The 26,612-nt window shown below is 54.9% G+C and overlaps 1 protein-coding gene across 4 annotated transcripts in view, besides 5 other annotated features; it reads right to left on the bottom strand.

Moving 5' to 3' along the window:
- The window catches only part of CASZ1 (castor zinc finger 1), a 160,043-nt gene that overhangs the window by 107,380 nt on the left and 26,051 nt on the right, over positions 1–26,612 (bottom strand). For 3 of the 4 annotated variants that reach the window (NM_001079843.3, XM_017001540.3, NM_017766.5), the window contains exon 2: positions 16,718–16,874. The gene's annotated coding sequence lies outside the window, so the exon portion shown is untranslated. Of the gene's footprint in view, positions 1–16,717; positions 16,875–16,973; positions 17,123–26,612 lie in introns of all 4 variants that reach the window. The other variant, XM_047423404.1, reaches the window with a different exon arrangement.
- Positions 247–1,446: an enhancer, noted in NCBI's record as "MED14-independent group 3 enhancer chr1:10804287-10805486 (GRCh37/hg19 assembly coordinates)". NCBI's record gives its function as "activates an origin of replication core promoter dependent on BRD2, BRD4, P300/CBP and CDK7 cofactors, and independent of MED14, by STARR-seq in HCT116 cells {active_cell/tissue: HCT116}" and the evidence as "EXISTENCE:reporter gene assay evidence [ECO:0000049][PMID:35650434]".
- Positions 1,545–2,468: an enhancer, noted in NCBI's record as "H3K4me1 hESC enhancer chr1:10805585-10806508 (GRCh37/hg19 assembly coordinates)". NCBI's record gives its function as "activates a minimal SCP1, AML or CMV promoter by ChIP-STARR-seq in naive H9 embryonic stem cells {active_cell/tissue: H9 hESC(naive)}" and the evidence as "EXISTENCE:reporter gene assay evidence [ECO:0000049][PMID:30033119]".
- Positions 10,723–10,910: a silencer, noted in NCBI's record as "fragment chr1:10814763-10814950 (GRCh37/hg19 assembly coordinates)". NCBI's record gives its function as "represses an EF-1alpha promoter that drives an FKBP-Casp9 reporter gene in an ReSE screen in K562 erythroleukemia cells {active_cell/tissue: K562}" and the evidence as "EXISTENCE:reporter gene assay evidence [ECO:0000049][PMID:32094911]".
- Positions 17,472–17,972: an enhancer, noted in NCBI's record as "H3K4me1 hESC enhancer chr1:10821512-10822012 (GRCh37/hg19 assembly coordinates)". NCBI's record gives its function as "activates a minimal SCP1, AML or CMV promoter by ChIP-STARR-seq in primed H9 embryonic stem cells {active_cell/tissue: H9 hESC(primed)}" and the evidence as "EXISTENCE:reporter gene assay evidence [ECO:0000049][PMID:30033119]".
- Positions 17,973–18,473: an enhancer, noted in NCBI's record as "H3K4me1 hESC enhancer chr1:10822013-10822513 (GRCh37/hg19 assembly coordinates)". NCBI's record gives its function as "activates a minimal SCP1, AML or CMV promoter by ChIP-STARR-seq in primed H9 embryonic stem cells {active_cell/tissue: H9 hESC(primed)}" and the evidence as "EXISTENCE:reporter gene assay evidence [ECO:0000049][PMID:30033119]".

Consider the following 26,612-nt stretch of genomic DNA (forward strand, 5'->3'; position numbering starts at 1 on the left):
GCATATTGCTGTTAAAATGTCTGCAAAATTTAATACACTTGGCATACCACCTAATCAGTCCTTGGAAACTCGGGCACTCTCTCCCCCTTAGACTCAAACTGCTTCAGCCCTTACGCCTAGGGTACTCCCACCCCGACCCTGCCCCCTGATTTTAGATAAAGTTGCTCCCTCCCCACCCGTAAAAACAGCTGCTGTGGCTTTTAGGACACATTTAATCCTGAAACTTGCCCAAAGTCCAGAATTCAGTTTCTAGGAAGCAGGTGGCATGGTAAAGAGAGCCAAGGGTGGGGTCCTGGGGCGGGAACTTTGGTACCGAGACTTCTTGGGGGTGGGGTGGGGGGCATTAGCAGAAGAGAGACACGGCACCACGAGCAGGCATGTCCTGGGCACCACGAGCAGGCATGTCCTGGGCACCACGAGCAGGCATGTCCTGGGCACCACGAGCAGGCATGTCCTGGGCACCACGAGCAGGCATGTCCTGGGCACCACGAGCAGGCATGTCCTGGGCACCACGAGCAGGCATGTCCTGGGCACCACGAGCAGGCATGTCCTGGGCACCACGAGCAGGCATGTCCTGGGCACCACGAGCAGGCATGTCCTGGGCACCACGAGCAGGCATGTCCTGGGCACCACGAGCAGGCATGTCCTGGGCACCACGAGCAGGCATGTCCTGGGCACCACGAGCAGGCATGTCCTGGGCACCACGAGCAGGCATGTCCTGGGCACCACGAGCAGGCATGTCCTGGGCGACAGGGGAACACAGTCCCAGATGGGCGGGCAAGGACTGTATGTCTGGGTAGCCAGCGAGAGCCATTCATCCTGACAGCTCTTATTTAAAGAGCTGCCTGGCACGCAGGAGAGCCGTGACCTCACCAGAGCACACAGGCACCCCGGTACACGGTACACGCAGACGCATGTCTGCCATGTGCTCCGTCAATCCACCCAATACCCCCTAAGACTCCACGGCCACTCCAAGTCCCCAGCAACCGGCGAGGAAGTTTCCAGATGAGCCTACGGAATAGGCCACCTGACCTTCTAGCCCCAGCAGAGCAATCAAAGCCCAGTATGACCTGGATATTTTTGGCAGGTCACCATTTGCTTTGCTTGACAAAGAAGATCCCACAGGGCTCCTAAGTGGGACTGGGAGGACCGATCCCCAAAAGCTTCACCCTCTGCCCCAAGGAAACAGAGTTCTTACCAAATTTTCTTTGTCCTTTTATTTTGATTTCCTCACCTCTGACTCACATGAAGTCTCGGGTGGCCTTAATTAGGTCTGAAGTCCCCTAAGAGACTCAGGGAACCCCAGGCAGCCTGCATCATGCCTATAAGACAGAGGTCAGATGGGACAGGCCAAGAATTGGAAGAATCCAGTGTGTTCCCCAACTGCGAGAGTAAGCCACAGTACCAGGGACACGAACACAGACAGCTTCTTGACCTTCCTTGCCCTTCGCCAAGTGGATTGAAATAGAGGCAAACAGCAAAAGGGGACTCAAGGGGGTGTGGGCAGGGCCGGCTTCCTGGGTGTGCAACCCATGCAGCCACACAGGGTCTCATACTCAAAGGGCACCTGCTGGGTTGAACGTCCTGCTGTCAGTGTTGTGAAATTCTGAATCAATTTAGAGCAAGAGGCCCTGCATTTTCATTGTGCACTGGGCCCCACAAATGATGTCGCCAGTCCTGGGTGTGGATTTTGGAAGATCAGACGACCTGGGTTTGAATCCCAATGCTCTGTCCCCTCTAAGCCAAGAGATATCAGAAAAGCCACTCATTATCTCTGGCCATAGGGCACCTATGGCCCTACGGGTCTAGAAGATGGAGTGATCACACCTGCTCACACAGAAGCTGGGAGAATTGAGAGGGACAAAAACGGGGAAGAGCCTTGGGCACATGATCATGAGCTCCTATTCAAACACAAGGTGTGGATCAAGAGGGGAAAAGGAGGCCTGGTGGCCGTGGTGCTGGCTTCCTCCCGCCCTGGGGGATCGCCTTACTCTGCTGGGTGAGAGGTCTGCCACTAAGCAGTGCAGAGGGAAGCCTGTGGCGTGCCCGGCCCACTGGCCCCATTCACAGGTGAAGAAACTGGGACAGAGTCAACAGATGACCTGCCTGTCGTCATCATAGAGTGGCCTCGAGGCAGGGCGAAGCTGAGGACATACTGTTCCCGCTGTCCAGGCCTCTGCCTTGGCCACAGGACACTTGAGATGAAGAGAGTGACAAGGAGGCAGGATTTGGAAGAGCGGGGAGGGAAGGGCCTCATTACACTCCATCACTCACACGTGCGCGCACACACACGCATGCACGGCAAAATTAAAGCTGAGAACTCGGCCAAAAAGAAAAATCCTACCCCTGTTCCATCGAAACTTATTTTAGGGCAGGAGGTAATTGCCAAAGATCCAAATAAAAAGCCAACCACAGGCTGTAAACGGCTCCAAGTCTTTAATTAGACCCCAGGAAAAAATAGTGGCAAAAAGAAAATGAAAGTAGGAGAAGCTCCCAGAGGAAGGAGTCTGCGCGGGATCCCTTCTGCCTTCCCAGCCCCATGGCTTCAGATGAGGGCCCCCTTGCCTGGGTCTGGCATCAGGGTTGTCTGCTAAAAAGGCTGGCAATGCCTACTGCTGGAGGCAGGTGCAGAACCAAGACAGCACCTTGCACCCCAACCAAGGGCCAGCCTGGACCCGGGACCTTCTCCTAGAGCCGTCCTAGACCCCAGCCCATGTCTGGCCTCATGTTGGGGCCACCACAGGGCAGAGGGACAGAGCGGAGGGTGAGCTTTTTCTACCACCCCTGGAGGTGAGAGAGCAGGGAAAAGAAAAAGCTCAGATCTGGAGTGGCCTTTGACCCACTGGAAAGTCTGCCCATCAAGCCAAAAGCCCTGGCTCCTGGGCCATGGAGCAAAGGATGCACATGTCACCTTCCCCACTCCCAGGAGCCGTTTTCCAGGCTCCCACTCCCTGCCCCTTCTCTAGGGCCCATGTGGGGTTGGGTAGCTCTGAGATCATGTGGGCAAGATGGATGACCCCATGGCTTCTCCCCTCATAGCCCCCGCTAACCAGGAGTGGACGCCCAGAAGTCCATGGAGTGACAAATGGCATGTGATGGCCACCCAGTTGGCAGTGCCATTCCCCTAACGCAAGGTAAGCACACACAGACCCTTTGCCCCAGGAGGCTCCAGCTACTCCACCAGCTACCCCCATACCCTCTGAGCCTCTGGCCCTTGGAGACATAGGCCACCTGAGACTAAGGGTGGGGCTGGGAAGCAAAGGGGAAGCCGTCCTTGGGAAGGTGGGGTCTGCAGAGAGAGGCAGGGTTCTGAATACGCTCATCTTTCGTAGATGCAACCCAGCAGACAAACCAAATCCCATGGGCAGGGATTCTTACCAAGTGCTAAGTCTAGCACCTGCCAAACCGTGGCGGAAGCAATGGCTGCCATTGAGGGTCTAACAGTGGCCAGGTCCCAGCGGCAGATGAAAGGCGTTCCACCCAGATGTCAGGGAAGAACCCTGGAGTAGAACACATCTCAGCACACCTCCAGTGAGTGAGCAGAAGCTGCAGTCCCTGTCCCGGGCTTTGCAGAGTGGGGAGAAGGTGAGGTGGGCTCAGGGTCCCTAATCAAAGCCCAGCCCATGTGCAAGAAACGGGAAAGAACCTGCCTTGTGACATCAAAGGCTGACATCAAAGGCTGCAGGGTCGACCACACTGAAGACCCCCACTCTGCTCTCTTGTGGGTCACTGCAGCTGCCTGGAATTAGGGGTGTCTCACCACACCTAGCTCCCCCTCCAGAATGAGCAATCACTGGGAGAGGGTACACAGTACACTGTGCTCACCTGCCTGACTTTTTTTTTTTTTTTTTGAGATGGAGTCTCGCTCTGCCGCCCAGGCTGGAGTGCAGTGGTGTGATCTCAGCTCACTGCAAGCTCCGCCTCCTGGGTTCACGCCATTCTCCTGCCTCAGCCTCCTAAGTAGCTGGGACTAGAGGCACCCGCCACCACGCCCGGCTAAGTTTTTTGTATTTTTTAGTGGAGACGGGGTTTCACCGTGTTAGCCAGGATGGTCTTGATCTCCTGACCTCGTGATCCGCCCGCCTCGGCCTCCCAAAGTGCTGGGATTACAGGTGTGAGCCACTGCGCCCGGCCATGTGCTCGCCTTTCAAAGGCTCCCTGCATCCAACTCCCCTTCTAAGCCTGGCAGAGGAGAAGGTGATTGCCAGGCCCGGCCTGTCCTTACTGCTGCAGCAGCTACTCCTGGGCAGGGGTGGCAGGCCGAGCCCTGTGTGTATACCATGTTCTTCACCTATCCTGGGCAGGGGCGGCAGGCCGAGCCCTGTGTATATACCGTGTTCTTCACCCATTTCCTTTCCCGTTTCTCAAACAGACGTTAGCGACGACAAATTAGGAGTGGGCCTAACAGTGACAGAGGCAGCAGTGACCCCTCACTCAGTACCTACCAGGTCCCAGGTCCGGTCACAGGCATTTTAGAGAACGCATCCCTGCAAAGACGATGCTATTGTGCCCATTTTACAGAGGAGTACAATGAGGCTAAGCTTGCAGAGTGACGGCCATGTCTATAAAACAGTGGGTCTGAACTGCAACTCAGGTCAGCCTGGTTCCAGAGCCCATCTCTCTCCATGGTACCTCTTTCTCGCAGTCAGCTCCCCGACCTGACCACTAGTTCCAGGCAGGGGCAGGCCTGGTTGCCCCTTCACCACTGCTTGCTCCTCGTCTGGGGTCTCTGACCACTGGTTTTATGCCTGTAGAGTCACCTGAACTGTAATGTAGGTGACAGTCATAAACTCCACAGTGTCTCCAATTCCCAGCCACCCACCATGCCCTGCCATGATGGCCAAGGCCCACGTGGCCAGAGCAAGCATGGAGGTCTTCTCGGCAGAAGCAGCAGATGCGAATCAGACCTCCTGAGGCAGCCCTAACATCGCCACGTCAGTCTGGTGAGGCCTCCCTGCCAGGTCCCCCAACTCGCTTCTGTCTTTGGGGGTCAGGTTGCAGGCATCAGGATGAGACGTGGGATTCCTCTTTGATGAGGAGCCCTGCGGCTGCTGCGTCCCAGCTTCCTTCCCAGCTTGGGAATGGGTTGGGAGAAGCAGTCCGGGGCCCTGCACAGACAGCAGGAGCCCTGCTAATTAATGAGCTCTCCGTCTTCCCTGAGTGCTCATAGACACAGCCAGATGGTCTCCACGACATGCCCTCCACCCTGTCCCCATCTTGCAACCACATGGCGGCTTCACATTCCACCCTCCCTCCATCTTTCCCCCCTATTTTTTTTTTTTGAGACAGAGTCTCACTCTGTCGCCCAGGCTGGAGTGCAGTGGTGCAACCTCAGCTCACTGCAGCCTCCACTTCCCTGGTTCAAGCAATTCTCCTGCCTCAGCCTCCTGAGTAGCTAGGACTACAGGCGTGTGCCACCATGCACAGCTAATTTTTTGTGTTTTTAGTAGAGATGGGGTTTCACCATGTTGGCCAGGATGGTCTCGATCTCCTGATCTTGTGATCCACCCACCTCGGCCTCCCAAAGTGCTGGGATTACAGGTGTGAGCCACCACGCCCGGCCTATCTTTCCTTTTATGCTGCAAACTTCAAGACAGCCCCATTTCCCCCTTCAGCCAGGTGTGGCCCAGACAGCCCCGAATGGACCAGGCGAATACGGAGACTCTTGTAGCAGGAGGTTCTAAGTGGGGCCTCTTAATCTAGACAAGGTTCCAGTTTCTCTTCTTACTTTCAGCCAATTCGGCTGGGGAGCTGGGGTTGCGAGAGGACCCAGGGCTGAGCGTGCCCCTATTTCTTAGAAGTGTTAAAAGATGACCTTACATCTAACAAATATTAATACTGACTTATAACCCCCAACAACCAAGGCCTGGCTGCTCCCTGCTCCCCAGAAGGGCACCGAGTAGAAGTTGCTCCAATTGGAAGCACAGGCTCACACGGGTCTCCGGAGCATCACAGACACCCCTGCTGGCTCTCTGTTGGCACCTCTGGGTCCTAGGTGGAGTGGTGGCTTGCAAGGTATATAACTGTGCCCTCTGGACAGCCGGCCTGTGTGCAGGCAGCTTGCCTAGACAGGGGCATTGCATGACGAACTGGCAGGGGCCCGGGGGCAGGGAGAGTCAGGCCAGAGCCATGGCTCTGAGAAACCCTGGCACACGTGTGGCCCAGGAGCCAGGGATGGGCTCTTCTGCAATGAGTTCTGTTTCAGGGCCGACTGCACAATGACAGCAGCCCGGGGGTTGTGTGACATGAGGCCTGGCTAGTGACGCTGCTTTGCTTCGATTTTCTTTTCTTTTCTTCTTCTACTTTTTAAGAGACGGGGTCTTGCCCTGCTGCCAAGGCTGGGGTGCAGTGGTGCGATCACAGCTCACTATAGCCTCAACCTCCTGGGCTCCAGTGATTCTCCCACCTCAGCCTCCCCTCCCAAATAGGTAGGACTACAGGTGCGTGCGCCACCACACCTGGCTAATTTTTATTTTTTAATTTTTTTTTTAAGAGATGGGAGTCTTGAACCCCTGGCGTCAAGCGATTCTCGCCTCAGCCTTCCAAAACGCTGGGATTACAGGCGTGAGCCACTGTGCCCAGCCCTGCTTCACTTCTCTGGGCATCAGTTTGCGCACTTATAGAAGGAGGCTGAGGCTGGGCGAGGTGGCTCACACCTGTAATCCTAGCACTTTGGGAGGCTGACGCAGGTGGATCACATGAGGTCAGGAGTTAGAGACCAGCCTGGCCAACATGGTGAAACCCCATCTCTACTAAAAATACAAAAATTAGCTAGGCATGGTGGCGCGACCTGTAATCTCAGCTACTCAGGAGGCTGAAGCAGGAGAATAGCTTGAACCCGGAAGGCAGAGGTTGCAGTGAGCCAAGATGGTGCCACTGCACTCCAGCCTGGGTGACAGAGCAAGACTCTGTCTCAAAAAATATATATATATAAATATAAATAAAATAAAAAATAAAAGGAGGCTGAGCTGGACGCTCCTGGGGTCACTGGAGGATTTGAGAGCTGCTGCGTGTGGAGTGATCGCCAAGACACCAGTGAGCACATGGTGAGCACCCTGTGCATGCTGGCTGCGATTGTAACTGTCATTGCTATTATTATTATTAATTATTATTATTATTATTGTGACTCTTTGAGTCTGTAAACCTTGTTTCAGATGCGGCTAAAAGGGAATAGGAAAGATCTGAGCTTACAACCTAGAAAAGCCACATTTCCTAAATTATTAATCCCCAGAATCAAAACCAGTGAGGACAGGGTGACAAGGATCTGATTAGAGGCCCTGAGGGGGTCTGGCCAGGTTTTGTGAGCTCAAGTGACCCAGACCTGCCTGGCCTAGAATCCAAGACACACTGACCTCAGAGTAGCCGACAGAGGGCAGAGAAGCCGACAGGGGCCAGAAGCCGACTTCTGGCCCCATCTTCAGGGGGATGATCTTTAGGGTGAGGCATATTTATTTAGGGCAGCAAGGGTTAACACCAGGGCTGGGAGAGGCCAGGCAGCACGGAGCACTCCCTGTTTATTAATAAGCTATTTATCACCAGCTTTGCTTTTAATGCCATTTGGGCTTAATGTTGTTAATGAAATATAAATACCCACGCTAATGATGTTGGTCAGAGGCAACACGGGCAGGAGCTGGCTCGAGAAACGGGGCCAAACCACCGGGCAGGCTGGGGAAGAGGCTGAGAGCTCGGGAAGCGGAAGAGGTTCCCACTCGTGCGGCACCCCCGGCCCCCTTCTGCTCACACCACAAGATGCCCTGGCTGGCTGTGCCGGGAAAGGCTGGGAGGAGGGCAGCCCAGGGGGCCAGGGCAGAGGAGGCCTCCCAGGGCACAGGATGCTGTTAACTCCTAGAGAACAGAGCCAGAGCAAAGAGCTCCCACCTTGGGGCACTGCCCGCCTGGCATCAAGCTCCTTGGCTGCAGGAGGCTGGACCTCCACCAGCTGGCAGCCCTAAGCTCTCTGTCCACAGGAACGGATCTAGGATGTGAGGGGTCACCAGAGGGAGCAGTAAGGACCCCATCAAGCTTTCCACTCCAGACTGGCCCTCCCCTCCCTGCCCGCAGTGACAGCCCAGGCAGGCCAGCACCCTGCAGGGCACACCCTCCCCAAGGAGCTAGCACGGGCTGCCCAGTTGGGGTGGGCATGGAGAGGGCAGCAGACGGGGATTCTTGCTCAGTGCCCAAAGGTCCTGGAACACAGAGGTGGCCCTGCATAGCAGGCTGTCGTCCCTGACCTTGTGCCTGGCCTGGTCCAGCCCCTCCTACACAGTGGGCCATCCCTGCCCACCTCTCCCTGGGCTCAGAACAGATGCCCTTAGCGGATGGTCATCTTTCCAAATTACCCCAGAAACTTCAGGTGGCCTCCTCTGGAGAGGCCCCTAGACTATTCCTAGATAGCAGCCTCACCAGGGAAGGCGGTCCTGGGGAATTGCTCCCCAGCCTGGTGGCCACAGATGTCCCTGTGGGGACTTAGACTCGATTCACCCAAGGGCCACCTGGGCCCAAATACAGGTTGGGAGACTCCAGCAAGTGGCCGGCGTTTGCCTCCATCCTCCTCTCCCTGTACTGTGGGAGTGGAGGTCATCGTGACCCCAGCCCTGCCTTGCTTGCAAAGTCCCCAGGCAGCTCCCCAGGGAGTGCTGGCTCTTCCAGAAGGAGGTCCCAGCTGCCCTGGAGAGGGAGCCCCCCTAGTTGCCAGCCCTCCCTGCTTAGGGCTGCCAGAGAAAATACAGTATGCCCAGTGAAATGTGAATTTCTAATAAACAATGAATACGGCCAGGTGCCGTGGCTCACGCCTGTAATTCCAGCACTTTGGGAGGCCAAGGTGGGTGGATCACCTGAGGTCAGGAGTTCGAGACCAGCCTGGCCAACATGGTGAAACCCCGACTCTACCAAAAATACAAAAAATTAGCTGGGTGTGGTGGCGGGTACCTGTAATCCCAGCTACTGGGGAGGCTGAGGAAAGAGACTCACTTGAACCTGAGAGGCGGAGGTTGCAGCAAGCCGAGATTGTGCCATTGCACTCCAGCCTGGGCAGCAAGACCAAAACTCCATCTCAAAAAACAAAACAAAACAAAACAAAAAACAATGAATACTATTTTCATATAAGTATGTCCCAAACATTGCATGGAATATACTTATACTAAAAAGTCCGTGCTATTTGTGTGAAATTTAAATGTACTAGGTATCCTGTATTTTTATTTGCTAACTCTGGCAGCCCCGTCCTGATGACTCAGCAGGTAGCCCCCGGCAGGGGGGTACAGTTCCTACGGGGTGAGCAGGACAGAAGAGGCAGTGAGGGGGAGTGGAGGTCCCTGTCCGTCTCAGGACAGCAGATTCTTTTCAAGAGGCTCTTCTCATCACTTTCTGCCCTGCCCAGCCTCCTCCCTCACCCGTCACTGCTGCACTGTCCAATACCACAGCTCACCTGCGGGGGTCCCCTCTCACTGCACCCCGCAAAGTCACCTCCATGTCCCCAAGGAGCACAGGGCTCATTTGCTGGGGCTTGGTGGAGCTCAGCTCAACGGCTAATCCCCTGGGTGGCTCCTGTCAGATTATTAATTAGCTAAAGCGGATCGGTCCTGGAACAACATGCGCTTGGACTTCAGATAAAGCAGGCCAGGGAGGCGGGTGGGGGTCTGCTTAAAGTGACAAGACCCTGTTTCTGAGCGGCTCCCCAGAAGGACCGGGGAAAGGAGGCCCAGGCTAGAGCAGGGCAAGTTCCAGACAGACCCCTCTGTGCCCTCTCTGCCCGCTCCCAGATGAAACATCGAGAGAGTGCATTCAAGAAGGGCGATCCGGGCACATATGCGACCTGTGAGAGGCGGAGTCGGTGACAGGTGGGTCTTGTTTTTTAATAAAGAGCTTGTTCCTAATCAGATCATGGCACTCAGAACTCTTCAAAAAGCTTCTTATTTCACTCTGGGTAAAAGCCAGAGTTCTCACAATGGCCTGCAAGGCCTACGGGATCTGAGGGCCCCCCACCCTGACCCCCTCGACTTCAGATGGCATCTGCCCCTCACTCTGCTCTAGCCACGCTGGTCTCCTTGCTTCTCCAACACGCCTCTGGGATCTCACACCTGCTATGAATGCTCTTCCTACAGATATCGATTAGGTTGGCTCACTCCCTCACTTCCTTTCTGTCTTCACCCAAATGTCACCATCGCAGTGACCCCTTCCCTGGGAGCCACATCTAAAATGACAAACCATCCATCCACCTGCCTCTCACTCCCTATTCTAGTCTGCAAAGAGGCTCTTGTTTTCTCCTTCCCACGCATCGCCATCCAGCACATCCTTTATTCCTTTTTCTCCTGTATCATTTGGCTCCCTCCATCCGAATGTAAACCTCATGAGGGCAGGACGTTGGCCTCTTCTTCATTTCGAGCACCTACAATGACTACCCACAGTGTCGCTGAATGGAAATGGAAAATGAATAGCCAGAGGTGACAGGTCAGGACTTGGACCACCACCTCTTCCGGCTCTGAACCCCTGAGGCTGAGCCCTGGCCCAACCCAGTGGGCTCCTCAAGCATCCAGTTCCTCTCCCCTGACCCTACTGGACCCCAGGCTTCCTCAGTCCTGCCCCCTAAACCAGGTGCTCCTCACACCCTCGTCCTAAGCATTTTCACTAGGATGCATTTCCAGGGTCTTTGGAGGGGTGCCCGAGGGGACCCATCTCTGTGTCACCAGACCTCCTCCCCGCAGCTGGGACCGATCCTCTCTCTGCCTGGAGAGCAGCACGGCGTGGGACTCACAGCTGCTGCCCGGGCCCAGCTCAGCTGCTGGCAAACTCCTGGGCTCGGATTGTTTTGACTTGAGTCGGTGAAGCTGAAATATTGAGTCACAACGGCCCTAAACTTCATTACCAGCTCTTAACACAGATTACTAAGGGAAAAAAAAGTCGCTTTTAATTGCTTTTCCCGATTAGCATTTCTGGAGAAGAAACTAGTGTTTAATTACACCTTTCCTCCTCTTACCCCGTTGGCCACGGGGGTCCCAACCCAGCTACCATAGCAAGGCCCAGGCTCAGAAAAGCCCCTGCTTCGGAGGAAAGCCAAGGAGCCGGACCAGAGAGAAAACTCAGGTGGTGAGTGGAAGGGGAGCGACCCCCAGGCCTGAAGGGCAGAGAGCAAGCGGCAGTGGTGTGGGTGGGAACGTGGCAGCATCCAGGGGTCCCGCGGAAGGTGGGCAGCAAGGGGATCACTGGCCGCCTCATGCCTCAGGGTGGTGGCTCTGGGCCTAAGGGCCTTCACCTGGACCAGGCTTATCCCTGGGTAGATTCCAGAACAAAAGCACATGGGGGAACCTGGCAGGAGACCGGAGAGGAGGAGCTTGAAGGTCTACACGAGGAGATGATGCAGTCAGGACTCCGGGACTCCTCCATGTGTGAGACCTGACGTCGCCTCTCCAATGCCAGCCTCTCTCACTGTGGGCACTCAGGGACAGAGGCAGGGCAGAGGCGCTTCTCTCTTCGTCCACCACACCGCGTCAACCCTCCCAAATCCACGGGTTGTCCCATCCTTTGGATCAACTGCGTCACCCGCCGAGAAGTCCCCCGAGTAGCTCCAGACAGGGCAGGTGCCCCCAGCCCTTCCCAATCCCTCTTCCCTGGGGCCCGTGCATGGCGAGATGCGGGGTTTTCCTGCATCTGCTCCGAAGGCAGGGGGTGTGGGGAGAACGGAGGAAGGAGGCCCAGGCTGGGGTTCGGCACCACCAGGTGGAACACTTGCCCAGATGAGAAATCAGGAAGATCAATAACTCTTCCCAGACCAACTCCCAGCCACATCTCTGCCCAGCCCAAGGCAACCTTGGGGTCTACCCATCCTCTGGAGCACCACATCACGGTGGGAGGTGGGGAACCCTCCTGCTCCCACCCCTCTGCACCCCCCACCCCAGCTGCAGGCCATGGAGCTGCCAGCCTCACATCAGATCAAAGCCCTGGAGGATGGCATGAGAACTGTCCAGTCCAGTTAGGAGTGAAGGTCACGGATCTAGTGCAGACCATAGAGGCGGAAAGCAGAAAAACCTCCCACGCGTGCACAGATGCACACGCCTCCCACCCGGACACACCCTCCCCCAGGGCCGGCCCAGTGTTCTGAGGCCTGGCAGACACGCCCAGGAAGACTGGCTGACACGCCCCTCGGAGCCAGGCAGAGGCACCAGCTGTAGGCCTGGGAGAGCCCCACCACTCCCGCAAGCCGCTGCCAGCCTGCACTTCTGCTCTCTCCCGTTGCTGCCTCTGGAGGTCAGGCCTCCAGAGCCTCCTTACAGGGCCAGGCTGCTGTGCCACACATTGCTTCCCACTTGGGACATCCCCGATGCACCCCCCACCCTCGCCCCCGCAAGACATCACCGGCCCTCCCTTCCTGTCACCTCCATGGAGGTCAGGTCTCCAGAGTGTTCCTGGAAGGCTGGGCTGGCCCATATGGCTGGGAATACGTTGCCAGCAAGGGCAAGTGCTCACGCGAGCCCGGCAGCCGGCTGTGACAGCTTCACGCTCGCCAACCAGGCCTCTGGCTTGCTCCAGGGCTACAGGGCAGTGCCCAGGGCGGCATGGGGCCTGTCCAGGGGCGCTGGGGATCACTGCTATCACAGCATCGATGCTGGGACTGCCTGCCCCAACCTGGCCCTCACAGATGGTGTCAGGACCCAGGAGAGTGGAGCCTCATGTCAGAGGCACTGGGAAAAGGGAGACTGGCCTTCAGGCGAGCGGGGTACTGGGGCAATTCACACCTTTGTGTGTGGCGACACTATTAGGATCCCTGCCGATGAGCAGATGAGCAGCGGCTGGAGGCTGAGCTGACCCCATGGAAATATGGGGGCTTCAGACAAACCCATCTGCCAGCCCTCACAGCTCACCAACGACGCTCTATATGACCCGGCACGTGGAAAAAGGTGTGCAGAAGCTCAGCCCTTGAGCGCACAGATCACATTCAAAGCCACAGTAAGAGAAACTCAGCCAACTTTTAGACCCAATCTCAGACCCAGCACAGAACCCAGGGAGCAAACACACAAAGCTGGCTTCAGTGCAGAGCCAGGGCTGAAAGGATAGTGTGTGTCCTGGCCTGCTCCCAGGCTCACTCCTGAAAACGGTGTCGGAGAGAAGCAGTTCCCTCCGCAAGGAGCCCGACCCACTCAAACGAGCCTTTCTCAGCACCCAGCATGGTTCCAAGATGGCACTTCTCCCCTAATGCATGAGACGTTAACCCTCTCAAAGCCATGGGTCTTTCTTGGTACTGCTGTGTTCAGGGGGCAGGAGAGAGAGGAGAAGACACAGAGCCACAAATCCGCGGGCACAGAATGCTTGAGTCATCCTGGGGCCCTCTCTTTTCCTTGCCCCGTTGAATCCATCATTGAGTCCTGCTAACTCTTCCTCTATACACATACAGGCTCTGACCCCTTCCCCGCCTGTCCACCTCCTCCTCACCCAGCCACCATCCTCTCACACCATCGGCTGCAGCAGCTGCCCCTCTGGCCTCCCAATTTCTTCCCTTGGCAGCCCCAACTACCTTTTTAAAACAAACATTGGCTGGGTGCAGTGGCTCATGCCTGTAATCCCAGCACCTTGGGGGGCTGAGGTGGGTGGATCACTTGAGGTTAGGAGTTTGAGACCAGCCTGGCCAACATGGTGAAACCCCGTCTCTACTAAAAACACTAAAATTAGCCAGGCATGGTGGCGCTTGCCTATAATCCCAGCCACTCGAGAGGCTGAGGCAGGAGAATCACCTGAACCCGGGAGGCGGAGGTTGCAGTGAGCCAAGATTGCACTGCTGCACTCCAGCCTGGGTGACAGAGTGAGACTCCATCTCAAACAAAAAACAAAAAACAGAAAACCATCACATCACTTTACCTCTGGCTCAAAACCCTCCAGCGGCTTCCTATCACCTAAGCATAAAATCCCAACTTCTCCCCAGGCACACAAAGCCCTGCACCTCCTGACACCCACCTCATCCACGTCCCCATCCACGTCCTGGCCACTCTGCCTTTCTTTCCAGTCACTGGATGCACTGAGGGCATCCTACCTTAGGGCCATTAGGCTAGCTGTTCTTTCTTTCTAGAATATTCTCCAGCCTGCTCTTCACTGATCTGTCCACTTCCTGTCCTTCAATCTCAGCTAAATGTCACCACGTCCTTGAGAAACCTCCTCTGAGCAGCCTGCCAGGAGTGCCAAGCAGTCACTTCCCACCACCACCTCCTACTTCCATTCTCTGCTGGCGTCTTCCTTTTTTGTTTTTGTGGGTTTGTTTCACGCTGCCTCGCCTACCAGACTCCATGAGAACAGGGGCGGTCTTGTCCACTCTGTTTGCTGGTGAGTGACTGACAGACGCCAGACCCTCTTCTCTCTCTCTCTTTTTTTTTTTTTTTTTTTTTGAGACAGAGTCTTGCTCTGTCGCCCAGACTGGAGTGCAGTGGCGCGATCTTGGCTCACTGCAACCTCCGCCTCCCGGGTTCAAGTGATTCTCCTGCCTTAGCCTCCCAAGTAGCTGGGATTACAGGCATGCACCACTATACACGGCTAATTTTTGTATTTTTAGTAGAGATGGGGTTTTGCCATGTTGGCCAGGCTGGTCTTAAACTCCTGACCTCAAGTGATCTGTCTGCCTCAGCCTCCCAAAGTGCTGGGATTACAGGCTTGAGCCACCGCACCTGGCCCCAGACCCTCTGTACTGCTGGATAAATTCAACCAGCTCTTCTGCAGAGGAGCCAGAGGTGGGGGGAATCTGAGCCAGACAGGGTCAGGCCTGCAGACCAGACCTACGCACAGGCTTGCCCCCTGGTCCACATTGGTGAGGCAGGACAGCTCTGAGACCATGGGTCACCCCTGCCACAGAGGACCCCCGCCTGCAGTCCAGCCTGGTCACTGGAAAGGGCTAAGTGAGGAGGGACTTGGCCATGATATTCTCACTCGGAGCCCGTGGAGTTCCCAAGCTTCATTATCAAGTCCAAGACAGCCGATGCTAGGATACAGGTGTCCCATCGGACCTGTGGATCCCATACCCCACACCAGGTACAAATCCCCGCTTGCATGACCCCTGGGAGTCAACAGCGAATGGAAACTTCAGAAAGGGAAAAACGAATAGGCGTGTTTTGCCCAGGCAAAGAAGAAAACAAAAAACCCGTCACTGAGAACAGAGCAGGCAAACATTACCCTCTCAGAGGGGAGGGGGCTCTGCAGGCACTCACAGCCTCTTCATGGGCAGGGCACAGGGCAGGGCTGGGCAAGACCACCCTGAGGCTTGCATATATTTGAGCCTGCATCCCAGGATTCATGATCATCAGAGGAAGCAGAGTCTGTTAAGAATAGCCCGGGAAGGTGGCAGAGGTGCAGGTGCTAACGCCAAGCCCAGAAGACTTCAGCGCCACGAAACTCCCCCCACGGCCTTTTCCAGGTGACAGTCTAAACAGCCCCGGTGCTATCCAGGGGACAACGGCAGCACATCCTAAGTACGACAGACCAACTTCAGGAGCATGATCACCTTCTGCACACCAGGAAGAAGAGTCGCAGCCACACAGTTGCCCCACCACAGCGACCAAAGGCCACATTTGCATCTGATTTGCAAATCTCTGGGCTGTATCCAGAGCTAGTTCCCTGAGGAGGCATGGCCTGGATTCAGGCAGGTCTGCAGCTTCAGGGACCTACCAAACCCCAGTGCGCACCAAGGCTCCCGTCTCTGCAAGCGCTTCCTCCCTGCAAGTTCGAAGTCCAGGGCTGCTGAGCCCAGCCCCAGAGGGAGGGGCAGGACACACCTGCCCAGAGTGACCATGGGGAGGAAGAGCGCAGGCAGGTGAGCCAGGGACACCGGCTCCAGGCTGGCACACATAGGAAGAGCAGCCCCCGGCCCTGCCCTCCCCAGACATCCTCTAGGCCCTCAGCCTCTGCTTCCACCCCTAGACCTTGCCCGTGAACTTCGCAAACACCCAATCCCTCTGGACTGGTTTCCTTGGGATCTCAAGAAAGTACTGAATAATGACCAGCATGCAATGAGTCACCCAATGTGTGTCAACCCCTCACCCCAAGAACTGCCACGTTTGATACCTGCAGGTAAATATCTGACAGTACCAGCTCCACAGACTACCCCTCCCTGGCATGAGTGACCTGCCTTACGCAAAGGGCTATTTCCAAGCCTGGGTCAAAAGGCACCTACAGCTTCTCCTCTATGAAGGGTCCTATTTGGGCCGGAGGACCACTGAAGAGAGCCTGATAAATCATCCCCAGGCCAGCTCCTACCACATATGAGCTTACAGCAGAGCAGCCTCTGGAGATGGAGAAAGGCTGGAACTACTGTCCAGCCCTTCTAAGACGAAGTTCCAACCTAATGCTTAGATCTGGGAGTGGCATCTGATGGAGAATGGTCCTTGGCCACAAAGCCTGGGCTGCATTGTTCAATGTCATACCATAGAAACACTGGGAAGATCCTTAAAAGGCCAGTTATGCTAACCTCTTCATTTCACGGGTGGGGAAACCGAGATCCAGAGAGTAAGTAGTGAGTCGGTGACAAGGCCAAGGCCCAAATGCAGGTGCCCTGCTCCCAGGCCAGAGCTTTCTTCTCCATCCAACACTTTTTTCATTTTCACTGATGGTGCTTAAGCTACCACCCTCAGGATCAGAACCCACTGGGAAAGGTGAGTCTAGGCCCTACATCGTCCGTACCCTAAAGAGCAACCCCCAAACTGGCCACCCCACACTTCCTAGTGGCATCTTGGGAACCGGAAGCATCTACCTTTGCATCCCAAGAGGCCAGGGTCCGAAGTCCATTCCAACACGTGCTGCTGGGGAGTTGCAGGAGCCCCTTGTAAAGGAGGGGTCGATGGCCGTGGCAGCTGGGAGGGCAGGTGGGATGGAGGAGTCTTTGCCTTCAGTCAGCAAGGTCTGTTTGCCTGCCAAAATGAGACAGGAAAACAGAAAAGATGAGGCTACAACCGACACCCACAAACCCACCCCACACTGGAGGACAAGGGAGGCTAAGGTTCCCACACCTTGTGTGATAACCAGCCAGCCAGGTAAGAGATTCTCGTTCCTGCCAGCCAATCAGCAGATGGCATTGCCACGGCGCATACCATGCCTGACTCTGCAACCAACGCACCCTTCGCACAATTATTAGCCAATGGCTACGCAGTTGTTGTACCTAATAAAAGAAGCAAACAGGTAGAAACAATACTAGGCCAATCAGGTGCCTCCCCAGGTAACACAGAAGGATCACACCCAAGGCTGGGCACCCAGGGTGAAAGGTCAGGCCTGAAAATGGATCAAGCCAATACTGGAAACAGATCAAACCCATGCAACCAAACCAACCCTGGGCTCCCCAACGCCTGCTCCCTCCAGACTTTCCCTGCGCCAGCTCCCAGCTGCTCCCCTGACCCCTGGGTGGCCTTCTGGGAGCCTCTATAAAAGGAATCAACAGGTGTCTCTGCAGCGACCCAGGATAGTGAATTTAATTTCTTCTGGCTTTCCTTCCCCACTTCCATTCTGGTACTGTGGGACTCAATTTCATAAAAAGAAAAGAGGGTGTGGGCCCTTGCCCTGAAAGGGGGCTGCTGAGATTCAGTTGCGATAGGTGTTGGGACAAAAAAAAAAGTAGCCAAAGAAAGTTGGTGCCCTGCTACCGGCAACCTTTGTGTCAATTTAAACAAATATTGTGGTGTTTCCATGGTGATTCCTGTTTTGAATATCCACTACACTCACTTTTTAAAGGGCTTTTCCTGTTTGCGTTTCAACTTCAAACCTGTAAATATTTTCAGCATTTTTAGAAAAAAGGAGCTCATGCGCGTGCAAACACAAACACACAACCCGATCTCGGCGTACGACCTCCCAGCCCTGGAAGCCCGGCCTCGTGGATGTGAGAATGGGGTGCTGAGAACCCAGAGGGGGTGCTCGGTCCGCTCTCCTGCCCACCCTGCCTGCGGAGCTGGCATCAGGAAGATTGCCACTGAAATCCCGGCCCTTTCCTTCCCCCTTTGCGGGAAGATTGCAGCAGCCACAGCAGCTCTGCGTTCCTGAAGCGTGTGAGCGGGCTGGGCCCTGCCTCCTTAGTGTGGCATGGTGTGGGCAGCTGCCCTGCAGGTTCTCCAACTTGGCCCGGCCCTCAGAGTCCCCGGAGGCCTTGCAGGAGTGCACGAACCCCTCCCCTCCTGCCTCCCAAGGTTGGACCTGAGTGCGAGGGGGAGTTGGCTCTTTGAAGGTGAGAGCTTCAGCATCAGCTCTGCCCTACCTCGGCTGGGGCAATGCCACCGAGACCAGCTCCCTGGGGGAGGCCATCAGGGGTGGACAGCATCCACTGTCCAAGGCTTGGATCAGCCCAGCTCCCATCCCACCCCTCGGCGCCACACAGGGTTAACAGCGGGTTTCCTGGTTTCCATGGATTCCTGCCAGGCCCCTAATGTGAGTTTCGTGTGATTTGGGGGAAGTGGATTTCCTTTGTTTTCCAGTTTGGGAATATTTTTTTCTTTAAAAAAGAGGAAAAAACACTTTAATGGAAACTTCAGGGCCACTGGGAGACTCACTCCTCTGGGCTCTGAAACTCCCCTGCCTGTTAGTCCAGAATCCCCCAAAGCCCTGGGCAGCCCGTCCACCCACAAAACTCCCCTGGGCTAGAAGAAGGCATGCCTTGGACCACCTACACTCCTACTCCAAGAATCTCCATCTGCTGGGGGTCTCCACTCCAATATCCCATCAGAACGAACCCACCTAAAAGCCAGCATCTTACACAGGAGGCTGACATGCCCCTCTTCCAGCTTTGTAAAACAGACATGTACATTCCCCAGAAAAAAGGTTAAGGGAAACACATCTACCTCCCCAACTCCAGGCAAGGCGCTGGCAAGACCAGGGGCTGACCACAGGCCAACGGTGAACACTCTCGGTGTTTCATGTCCTTGGCTCAGAGGAGGTTCCAGCTATGGAAGGAAAGGGGGCTCCAGGCCCTGGTGGGACGCTCGTTGGGCTTCTTCCAGCGGAAAGTGGGGCCTGCCCAGGGCAGAGGATGCTTTTCAGCTTTGGCAGCAAGAACAACTGAATAAAGGGTGTGGCCAGGCCTCCTCCTCCTTTTCCCCCACGGTCTTCCCCATTCCTGCCATCCTCCAAGCCTGCCAGGGCGTGGCCTTGCTCCAGGATTGTCCCCAACCAAGTGGCCTGACCCACTTACCAAACCAGGGCACAGGCCGCGGGGCCTTCCATAAACTGAGGCTTTCCCACAGCCCAGGCCCCGGGGGCCATGGATCCCGGTCAGAAAGTGCAGAGCGCAGAGGCCGGGTCTCTGTGACCAGCGGCTCCATGGTGAAGAAGTGAGAAGCTGAGTGAGCGTGCTTACAGAAATCACAACGGGCTGAGAACCAGGAGACGTGGGTCCGAGTCCCACTTCTGTCCCCGAAACCTCCATGGGCCCTTAGACAAGCCTGCTAATCTCCCTAGGTTCCGTCCCCTCACCAGCCAGACGGAGACGATGCCTAAGACTTCCCTCCTACCTTGCAGGCTGCGCGGAGGATGGACAAGAGGCGTGAAAGGGTGTTAACAAGCACTCTAGAAATGCCCAGAATCACCACCACCCTCTTCTTCCAAGCCTCTTCAAGGTAGCCTTCTGAAATCTACCCCGGGTGGCCCCACACACCCCTGACTCTGCTCCTCCTATATCCTCCACCACAGCATTTACATCCATACTGGACTAAAGTAATTTGTTCACAAGTCTGTCTCCACCATTGGACTTTTAACTCCTCAAGGGCAGAGAGCGGGTCCTAATGATCTGCGCGTCTCCAGCATCTAGCACAACAGCTGGGCCACCGTGGGCAGCGAAGGTGTCGGTGGAACTGAACTAGTCCCTGACTTCAGGTCAGAGTCAGATGAGCTCCGTGCAGCTTGGCCCCTCTTCTCCAACAGAACGCTCCATTCGCTGTTTTCTGTTTTCTTTTTTGAGATGGAGTCTTGCTCTGTCACCCAGGCTGGAGTGCAGTGGCGCAATCTCGGTTCACTGTAATCTCTGCCTCCCGAGTTCAAGCGATTCTCCTGCCTCAGCCTCCCGAGTAGCTGGGACTATAGGCAAGTGCCACCACGCCTGGCTAATTTTTGTATTTTTAGTAGAGACGATGTTTTACCAGATTAGCCAGACTGGTCTCGAACTCCTGACCTCAGGTGATCGGCCTGCCTTGGCCTTCCAAAGTGCTGGGATTACAGGTGTGAACCACCGCACCCAGCCCTGTTGGCTCTTTTTTGTGCCCATTCTGTTTAGCTCTTCCCAAGCCTCAATCTGTGCCTTGGTCTCTCCTTCTCCTCCATTAGCCCTGTGAATTAACAGCTCTCAGGTTTAAGGGAGCCCCTTAGTTACTTGATCCCCTCCAACCAATTCCAATAAGAATTGGACCATGTGCCTACTATGTGCCAGGCGGCAGGCTGGGCATAAGGGCACACTGATAAGTGGCCTCTGCCCCCTGCCAATAGGCCAAAGTGAGAACTCTTGGTATGAACCAGTCAGATGCCTTCTATCTGCCAAGCACCGTGCCAAGTGCCCTACGCACATGATCTAGCCAAATCTTTACAACACAAAGGCAGAAATGGTTATGGTCCCCATGGATAGATTAGGGAGGGCGGGCATGGAGACACGAAGTGACTTGCCAAGGATCATACCATGTACAGGTGCCAAAGCCAGGCCTGGGCTGACAGGCTCCAAGGCCCAACTCACTTAAAAGGTCATCCTGCTCCCCTCCCTGTGATCTCTGCAGCCACCCACAACTGATGCTGTTGTCCCTCCAGAATCTCAGTTCTCCTGGCCTCAAAACAGTTCTGGACCAAGTCCCCCAGAGCCACCAGGCAGTGCTCACACGTCACAATGAAAGGCTCAGGTGCTTCTGGCCGGGCTGAAAAGGGGGGAAAGCGAGGCCCATGGTAATACCCGGCGAGCAGGATGAACCCCTGAACACATCTTCCAAATGGGGTCTGGACTGTGGTCATGCCCATTGCAACCTGTCATCTGACAGGATGGGGACAAGGAAGCCACCTCCATGCTAAGTCAGGAGGTCCTGTTGGGACAGGACAACTTCCATTTCTTCTCTCCAGATAAGGGGAAAGCAAAAGGGCTTTATCTTTGGGGGCGTGGGGCAGGGATTTCTGCTGCCTCCCCTACATCGGAACCTCCCCCCACAATGAACATCAGCCACGGAGACGCGGGATTGGGAAGCAGGGCCAGAGAACCCCTTGATTTTCACCTGGGGGAATGTGGGTACGGGGAGGCGCCTATCATCTCCCTGCAGGAGGGAAGACACTGGGAAGTGGTAGGGAAAGATTTCTATCCGAGAGGGTACGTGGTGGAAGATAAGCCCGGGGTGGGGAGAGGACAGAGCGCTAATGAGCAGATTTCATAAACCACCCGAGTGAAAACAAAAACACAGACGTGCACATTGCCCAACTCCAGGGCTGTATGGAAAAGGAAAAAAAAAAAACAATAAAAAAATCCACATCTTAATACAAAAATCCTCCATGATGTGTTGTGGCACGAAAGTGTTTTTCGCTGCATTTTTCATCTGTGATCTCACACGGCCCACGACGGGTACGCCCAACGCAGCAGGTATTCGACGGTACACAAACAGGGCAGACACATACACAATGAGCCAAAACAAGGGCGGCCAACATGCAGATCGGTCCAGGCTGGCATCTCACGGCTTCAGGTGACCTCTGGCAACGGCCTCATTGGACCTGAACCTGGGACCCTTTAGATTTCTGAGGGAGAGAGAGATGGGGCAAGAACGCAGCTCAAGTGCAGAGGGCTCTGAATTCTCAGAACTCCCAGCCAGCTGCTTATGCGGCCTTTCCACACTTAAGGTACTGTCCACTGTCCTGCTGCCGGCAGGGGACAGGGAGGGGACCCGCACCCCAGAGGCCCTTCCTCCGTATCACTCACCCCACAGTTACTATCTGTCTCCTTTCTGTTCCACCCCTCCCCCACTTTAATTGTTGGATGAGTTTACAGAGCTGTGTGCCAAAAACAATCAATTCCAGGGAACAGAGTTATACAAAAAAGGGCGTGTCGCCAGAGGGAGACGGATATCCATGGAAACCACCACCTTTTCACAGCAGCCTAGGTGAAGCTTGGGTGAGGGGATGTGTGGGGGTTGGGGAGACATGCTCCACCCAGAACAGGGCCCCAGAAAATGCAGGGGCCACTGATGATCTATCTGCAGGAACCAAATACCGTGCGGAGGGTCAGAAAGTGGAGTCAGTCACAAAACACACGTTCAGCACGTGCACACACACACACACACACACACATATATGCCACTCCGCCAGATCACTGGGCAACATGCCACTGTGGTTAAGCACACAAACTCTGGAACCAGACTGCCCAGGTAGGAATCCAGGCTCTGCCACCCACAAGCTGTGTGGCTCTAGGCTAACGACTTTAACCTTTCTGTGCCTCAGTTTCTCCATCAGTAAAATGGGGATAAAGATAGTTCCTCTGCGAACCGTCATGAGGATTAAATGGCTTCTTACGTGTAACATGCTGAGGAAAGTACCCTCGACCAAGTAGGTCCCCTAGAGCCACCAGACAGGGCTCAGATGTCACAACCAAAGCCTCAGGTGCTTCTGGCCGGGCTGAAAGGTGGGGGAAGGTGAAGCCTGTGGTAACACCCGGGTAACGAGCAGGTACTTCACAGCCCCACAAAGCAGGTGCTGTCAAGCATTTGATAAATCAATCACAAAGCCTAAACAAAGAGAAAGAAAGGTTTCTAGACCCTGCCACAGTAGAAGAGGAAAACGATACTAGTTCATGTTTATTAAGCATTGTGGGCTCAGGATTTTAATATATTAATGCATATAACCATCGCAAATTAATATCTATAACCTGCAATGAAGTAGATGGTTCTCTCAACTGGCGAGTGGAGGGTTGAAGAACTGGGACCCACAGAGAGATGGGGCCCAGCCAAGGTCACACACTGGTACATGATTTAACCCCAACTGCCTGACACCTCCTCACAGCACTGCTTAGTAAGGTGGGTGGGGAGAAAGCGAGGGAGGGAAGGGCTTTCAGGAGCTTCTCTTTCTGGACTGGCCTTAGAGGCAGAGTGGTGGGACCTAGACTCGCTCTTCCCAAACTTCAGAAGGAAAACAGAAATCCTCTGCGCCCGTTGACTGCTGATGGAAGGAACGAGGAGTGGGGAAAAGATGGGGCCCGGTCGTCCGCATTCCTCATGAGTTCCTGATGGGAGGAACGAGGAGTGGGGAAAAGATGGGGCCCGGTCGTCCACATTCCTCATGAGTTCCTGCCCCAGTCCTGGCCCAGGAGATCAGCGATGTCCTCTGACCCTTCCCTCTACCCAGGCAGGCATCTCCAGAATCAGGAAGTCCCTGGAGGGCAGGCAGCAGAGCTGGGGCCCCATCTCCCAGCAATGGAGGCCCAAAGCCTGGGACGGGTCCTATTTCCAGGTCACAGCCCTGTAAACAACCTGATTTTCCGCCTTCCCAGATCCTAGGCAGATCCCTGGAGGGGACAGGGCGGGGGCGATGGGAGCACAGGCTTCCCCTATTGCAAAGCCAGGCCCAGGGAGGCCGGGAAGCAGAGAGCCGGAGGAGTCAGCAGCTGCCTGCCCCGAGAGGTTTGGTCCACACCTGCTCGGAGACCAGGCTTGGTGGCTCAGCCCTTTCTGCCATCGACCACCCAAAGTCATTCAGATATTTCCTCTCTCACTTGCTTTTTAAAAAAAATTTAATGTTCTCTATAATTCATCCATCGCAGAAGATAATCGATAGAGCCCGTAATGAAAATCTGAGCCATATTTTATGACCCACTGCAAGCAGAAAGGGCCACATCAGCAGGTCCGGTTGCAGCTCCCTGTCTGTCTTGCCCACTGCCCCGGGGATCACTTCCCTCGCTGGCCCTGTCCACAGCCCTCGGCCCATGAGGAGGGCCACGACCCTGGCATCACCCCAGTCCCCCAACGCCCACTCCAACCCTAGTCACAGGAGGGTCACCCACCATTGCAAGGTCTTCCTGGAGCAGACCCCAGACCTGGGACCCCAGACTCCACCCTGGAATCTCACAAGTGTCTTGACTGAGTCAGGGGCCTTCCGGGAGCTGGAAGACCCTCACAAGGAGCGGGAGGCCTGCACAGGATTCAGGGAGCCAGGCCAGCCTCTACCATGGTGCTTCCCATGAGGCAGGCCGCCCTGATCTCAGGAGGCTCCCCCAGGGGCCTCCGGGTTTTATCTTGGACCCTCTGCTCAGGGCAGGGTGGGTCATTATTGTTCGTTTGTTTGTTTGTTTGTTTGTTTGTTTTTGAGACAGAGTCTCACTCTGTCACCCAGGCTGGAGTGCAGTGGTGCAATCTCGGCTCACGGCAGCCTCCGCCTGCTGGTTTCAAATGATTCTCCTGCCTCAGCCTCCCAAGTAGCTGGGATTACAGGCACGCACCACCATGCCTGGCTAATTTTTGTATTTTTAGTAGAGATGGGGTTTCACCATGTTGGCCAGGCTGGTCTCAAACTCCTGACCTCAAGTTAGCTGCCGGGCTCAGCCTCCCAAAGTGCTGGAATTAGAGACATGAGCCACTGCACCTGGCCTATTGTTCATTTTTACTCCCTCAACCAAGGCCCTCCTCTCCCTGGACTCCAGCCTTCTGGGGTGAAGGGTGAGGAGGAGGCATCCTGGGGGACGGGCACCAGAGTGCTGGGGGGAGTGGCCCCTCCTGCCCAGCCAGAGCCCACTGTGGGGGAGGGGAAGCAGAGCCCTGGCATCACCACTGAGAGCCAATCAGCCGGCCGGGCTTGCTCCTCCCAGAATCCATCACTGCCTGGCACCAATCAGAGAGCACCACAGGGCAGGTGCCAGGAGGCAGAAACCGCTGGTGACCAATCAGAGCCCAGAGGATGCACCAACCTCCCAGGAATGACAACTCAAGCCAAGCTAGGCATGGTAGCTCATGCTTGTAATCCCAGCACTTTGAGAGGCAGAGGCGGGCAGATCACTTGAGGCCAGGAGTTCGAGACGAGCCTGTCCAACATGGTGAAACCCCGTCTCTACTAAAAATACAAAAATTAGCCGGGTGTGGTGGCGGCGTCTGTAATCCCAGCTACTCAGGAGACTGAGGCAGGAGAATCACTTGAACCTGGGAGGCGGAGGTTGCAGTGAGCAGAGATTGTGCCACTGCACTCCAGCCTGGGCAACAGAGCAAGCCTCCGTCTCAAAAAAGAAAAGAAAAGAAAACTCAAGCCAGTAAGAGAATGTGATTCAGCCACGCTATGGACCACTATGCAGCCCTTAAGAGACACTTAGAAAAGTGGGGGAAGGTTCGGCGAGAACACTCCAGTGGCTGTGTGCTGGAGGATGCTGTCCCACACAGCAGCCACTGGCCACATGCGGCTACTGAGCACTAGACGTGGACAATGTGACTGAGGAACTGAATTTCCAATTTTCTTTTACTTTAATGAATGAAAGTTTAAAGAAGCTAGAGGCTTGGATAGCACAGGTTTAGATAGATAACTCATCAGTGTAAAAAAGTTAAATGTCTATTATCCCAAGATAGTGGGAATAGTCATTATTAATGATAATAACAGAAACAGAAATAGTTAATTTTTTTTTGAGATGGAGTCTCACTCTGTTGCCTAGCTGGAGTGCAGTGGGGTGATCTCGGCTCACTGCAACCTCTGTTCCCCGGGTTCAAGCGATTCTCCTGCCTCTGCCTCCCGAATAGCTGGGATTACAGGTGCGCACCACCACACCCGGCTAATTTTTGTATTTTTAGTAGAGACAGGGTTTCGCCATGTTGGCCAGGCTGGTCTCAAACTCCTGACCTCAAGTGATCTGCCCACCTTGGCCTCCCAAAGTGCTGGGATTACAGGAGTGAGCCGCCACACCTGGCCAGAAGTAATATTTAAGGGTGCTATGTGCCAGGCTCAGTGCTAAGTATTTTATATATGGATCATTACACTAAATCAAGGACCAGCCTGCAAGATCTACGCTATCAGTATTTCTACTTGACAGATGGGGAAACTGAGGTTTGGAAACTGAGTAACTTATTCAAGGTGATACTGCTGGGTGGAAAACCAGGGATTATAACCAGGTATCTCTGTCTCCCTAACTCACAAAACACATTTTTAAATTCTTTTCTTTTCTCTCTCTTCTCTTTTTTCTTTTCTTTCTTTTTTTGAGACAGGGCCTGGCTCTGTCACTCAGGCTGGAGTGCAATGGCACGATCTCGGCTCACTGCAGCCTCCACCTCCTGGGCTCAAGCCATACTCCCACCTCAGCCTCTCAAGTAGCTGGGACTACAGATGTGTACCATCACGCCTGCCTAATTTCTGTATCTTTTGTTGAGACAGGGTTTTGCCATGTCACCCAGGAGTTTCTTGAACTCCTGAGCTCAAGTGGTCTGTCTGCTTCAGCCTCCCAAAGTGCTGGGAGTACAGGTGTGAGCTGTCGAACCTGGCCTAAATTATTTTCTTTATACTTTTTTGTATTTTTCAATGCACATGAGCATAACTTGTAATCAAGGAGAAAAAATAGATTTTTAAAAAGGCCCTAAAAGGAGGTAATTCCTTTTTTCCCAGGAGCAGAGTGTACGGAGGGGTTGCTGGGGTCCCAGCCAACTGGGCCCCTAGCTGCGGGGTGGTGAAAGGAGCCAGCAGTGCGGTCACAGGCC

This window comes from Homo sapiens, chromosome 1, assembly GCF_000001405.40.
Source record: "Homo sapiens chromosome 1, GRCh38.p14 Primary Assembly".
Taxonomy (NCBI): Eukaryota; Metazoa; Chordata; class Mammalia; order Primates; family Hominidae; genus Homo; species Homo sapiens.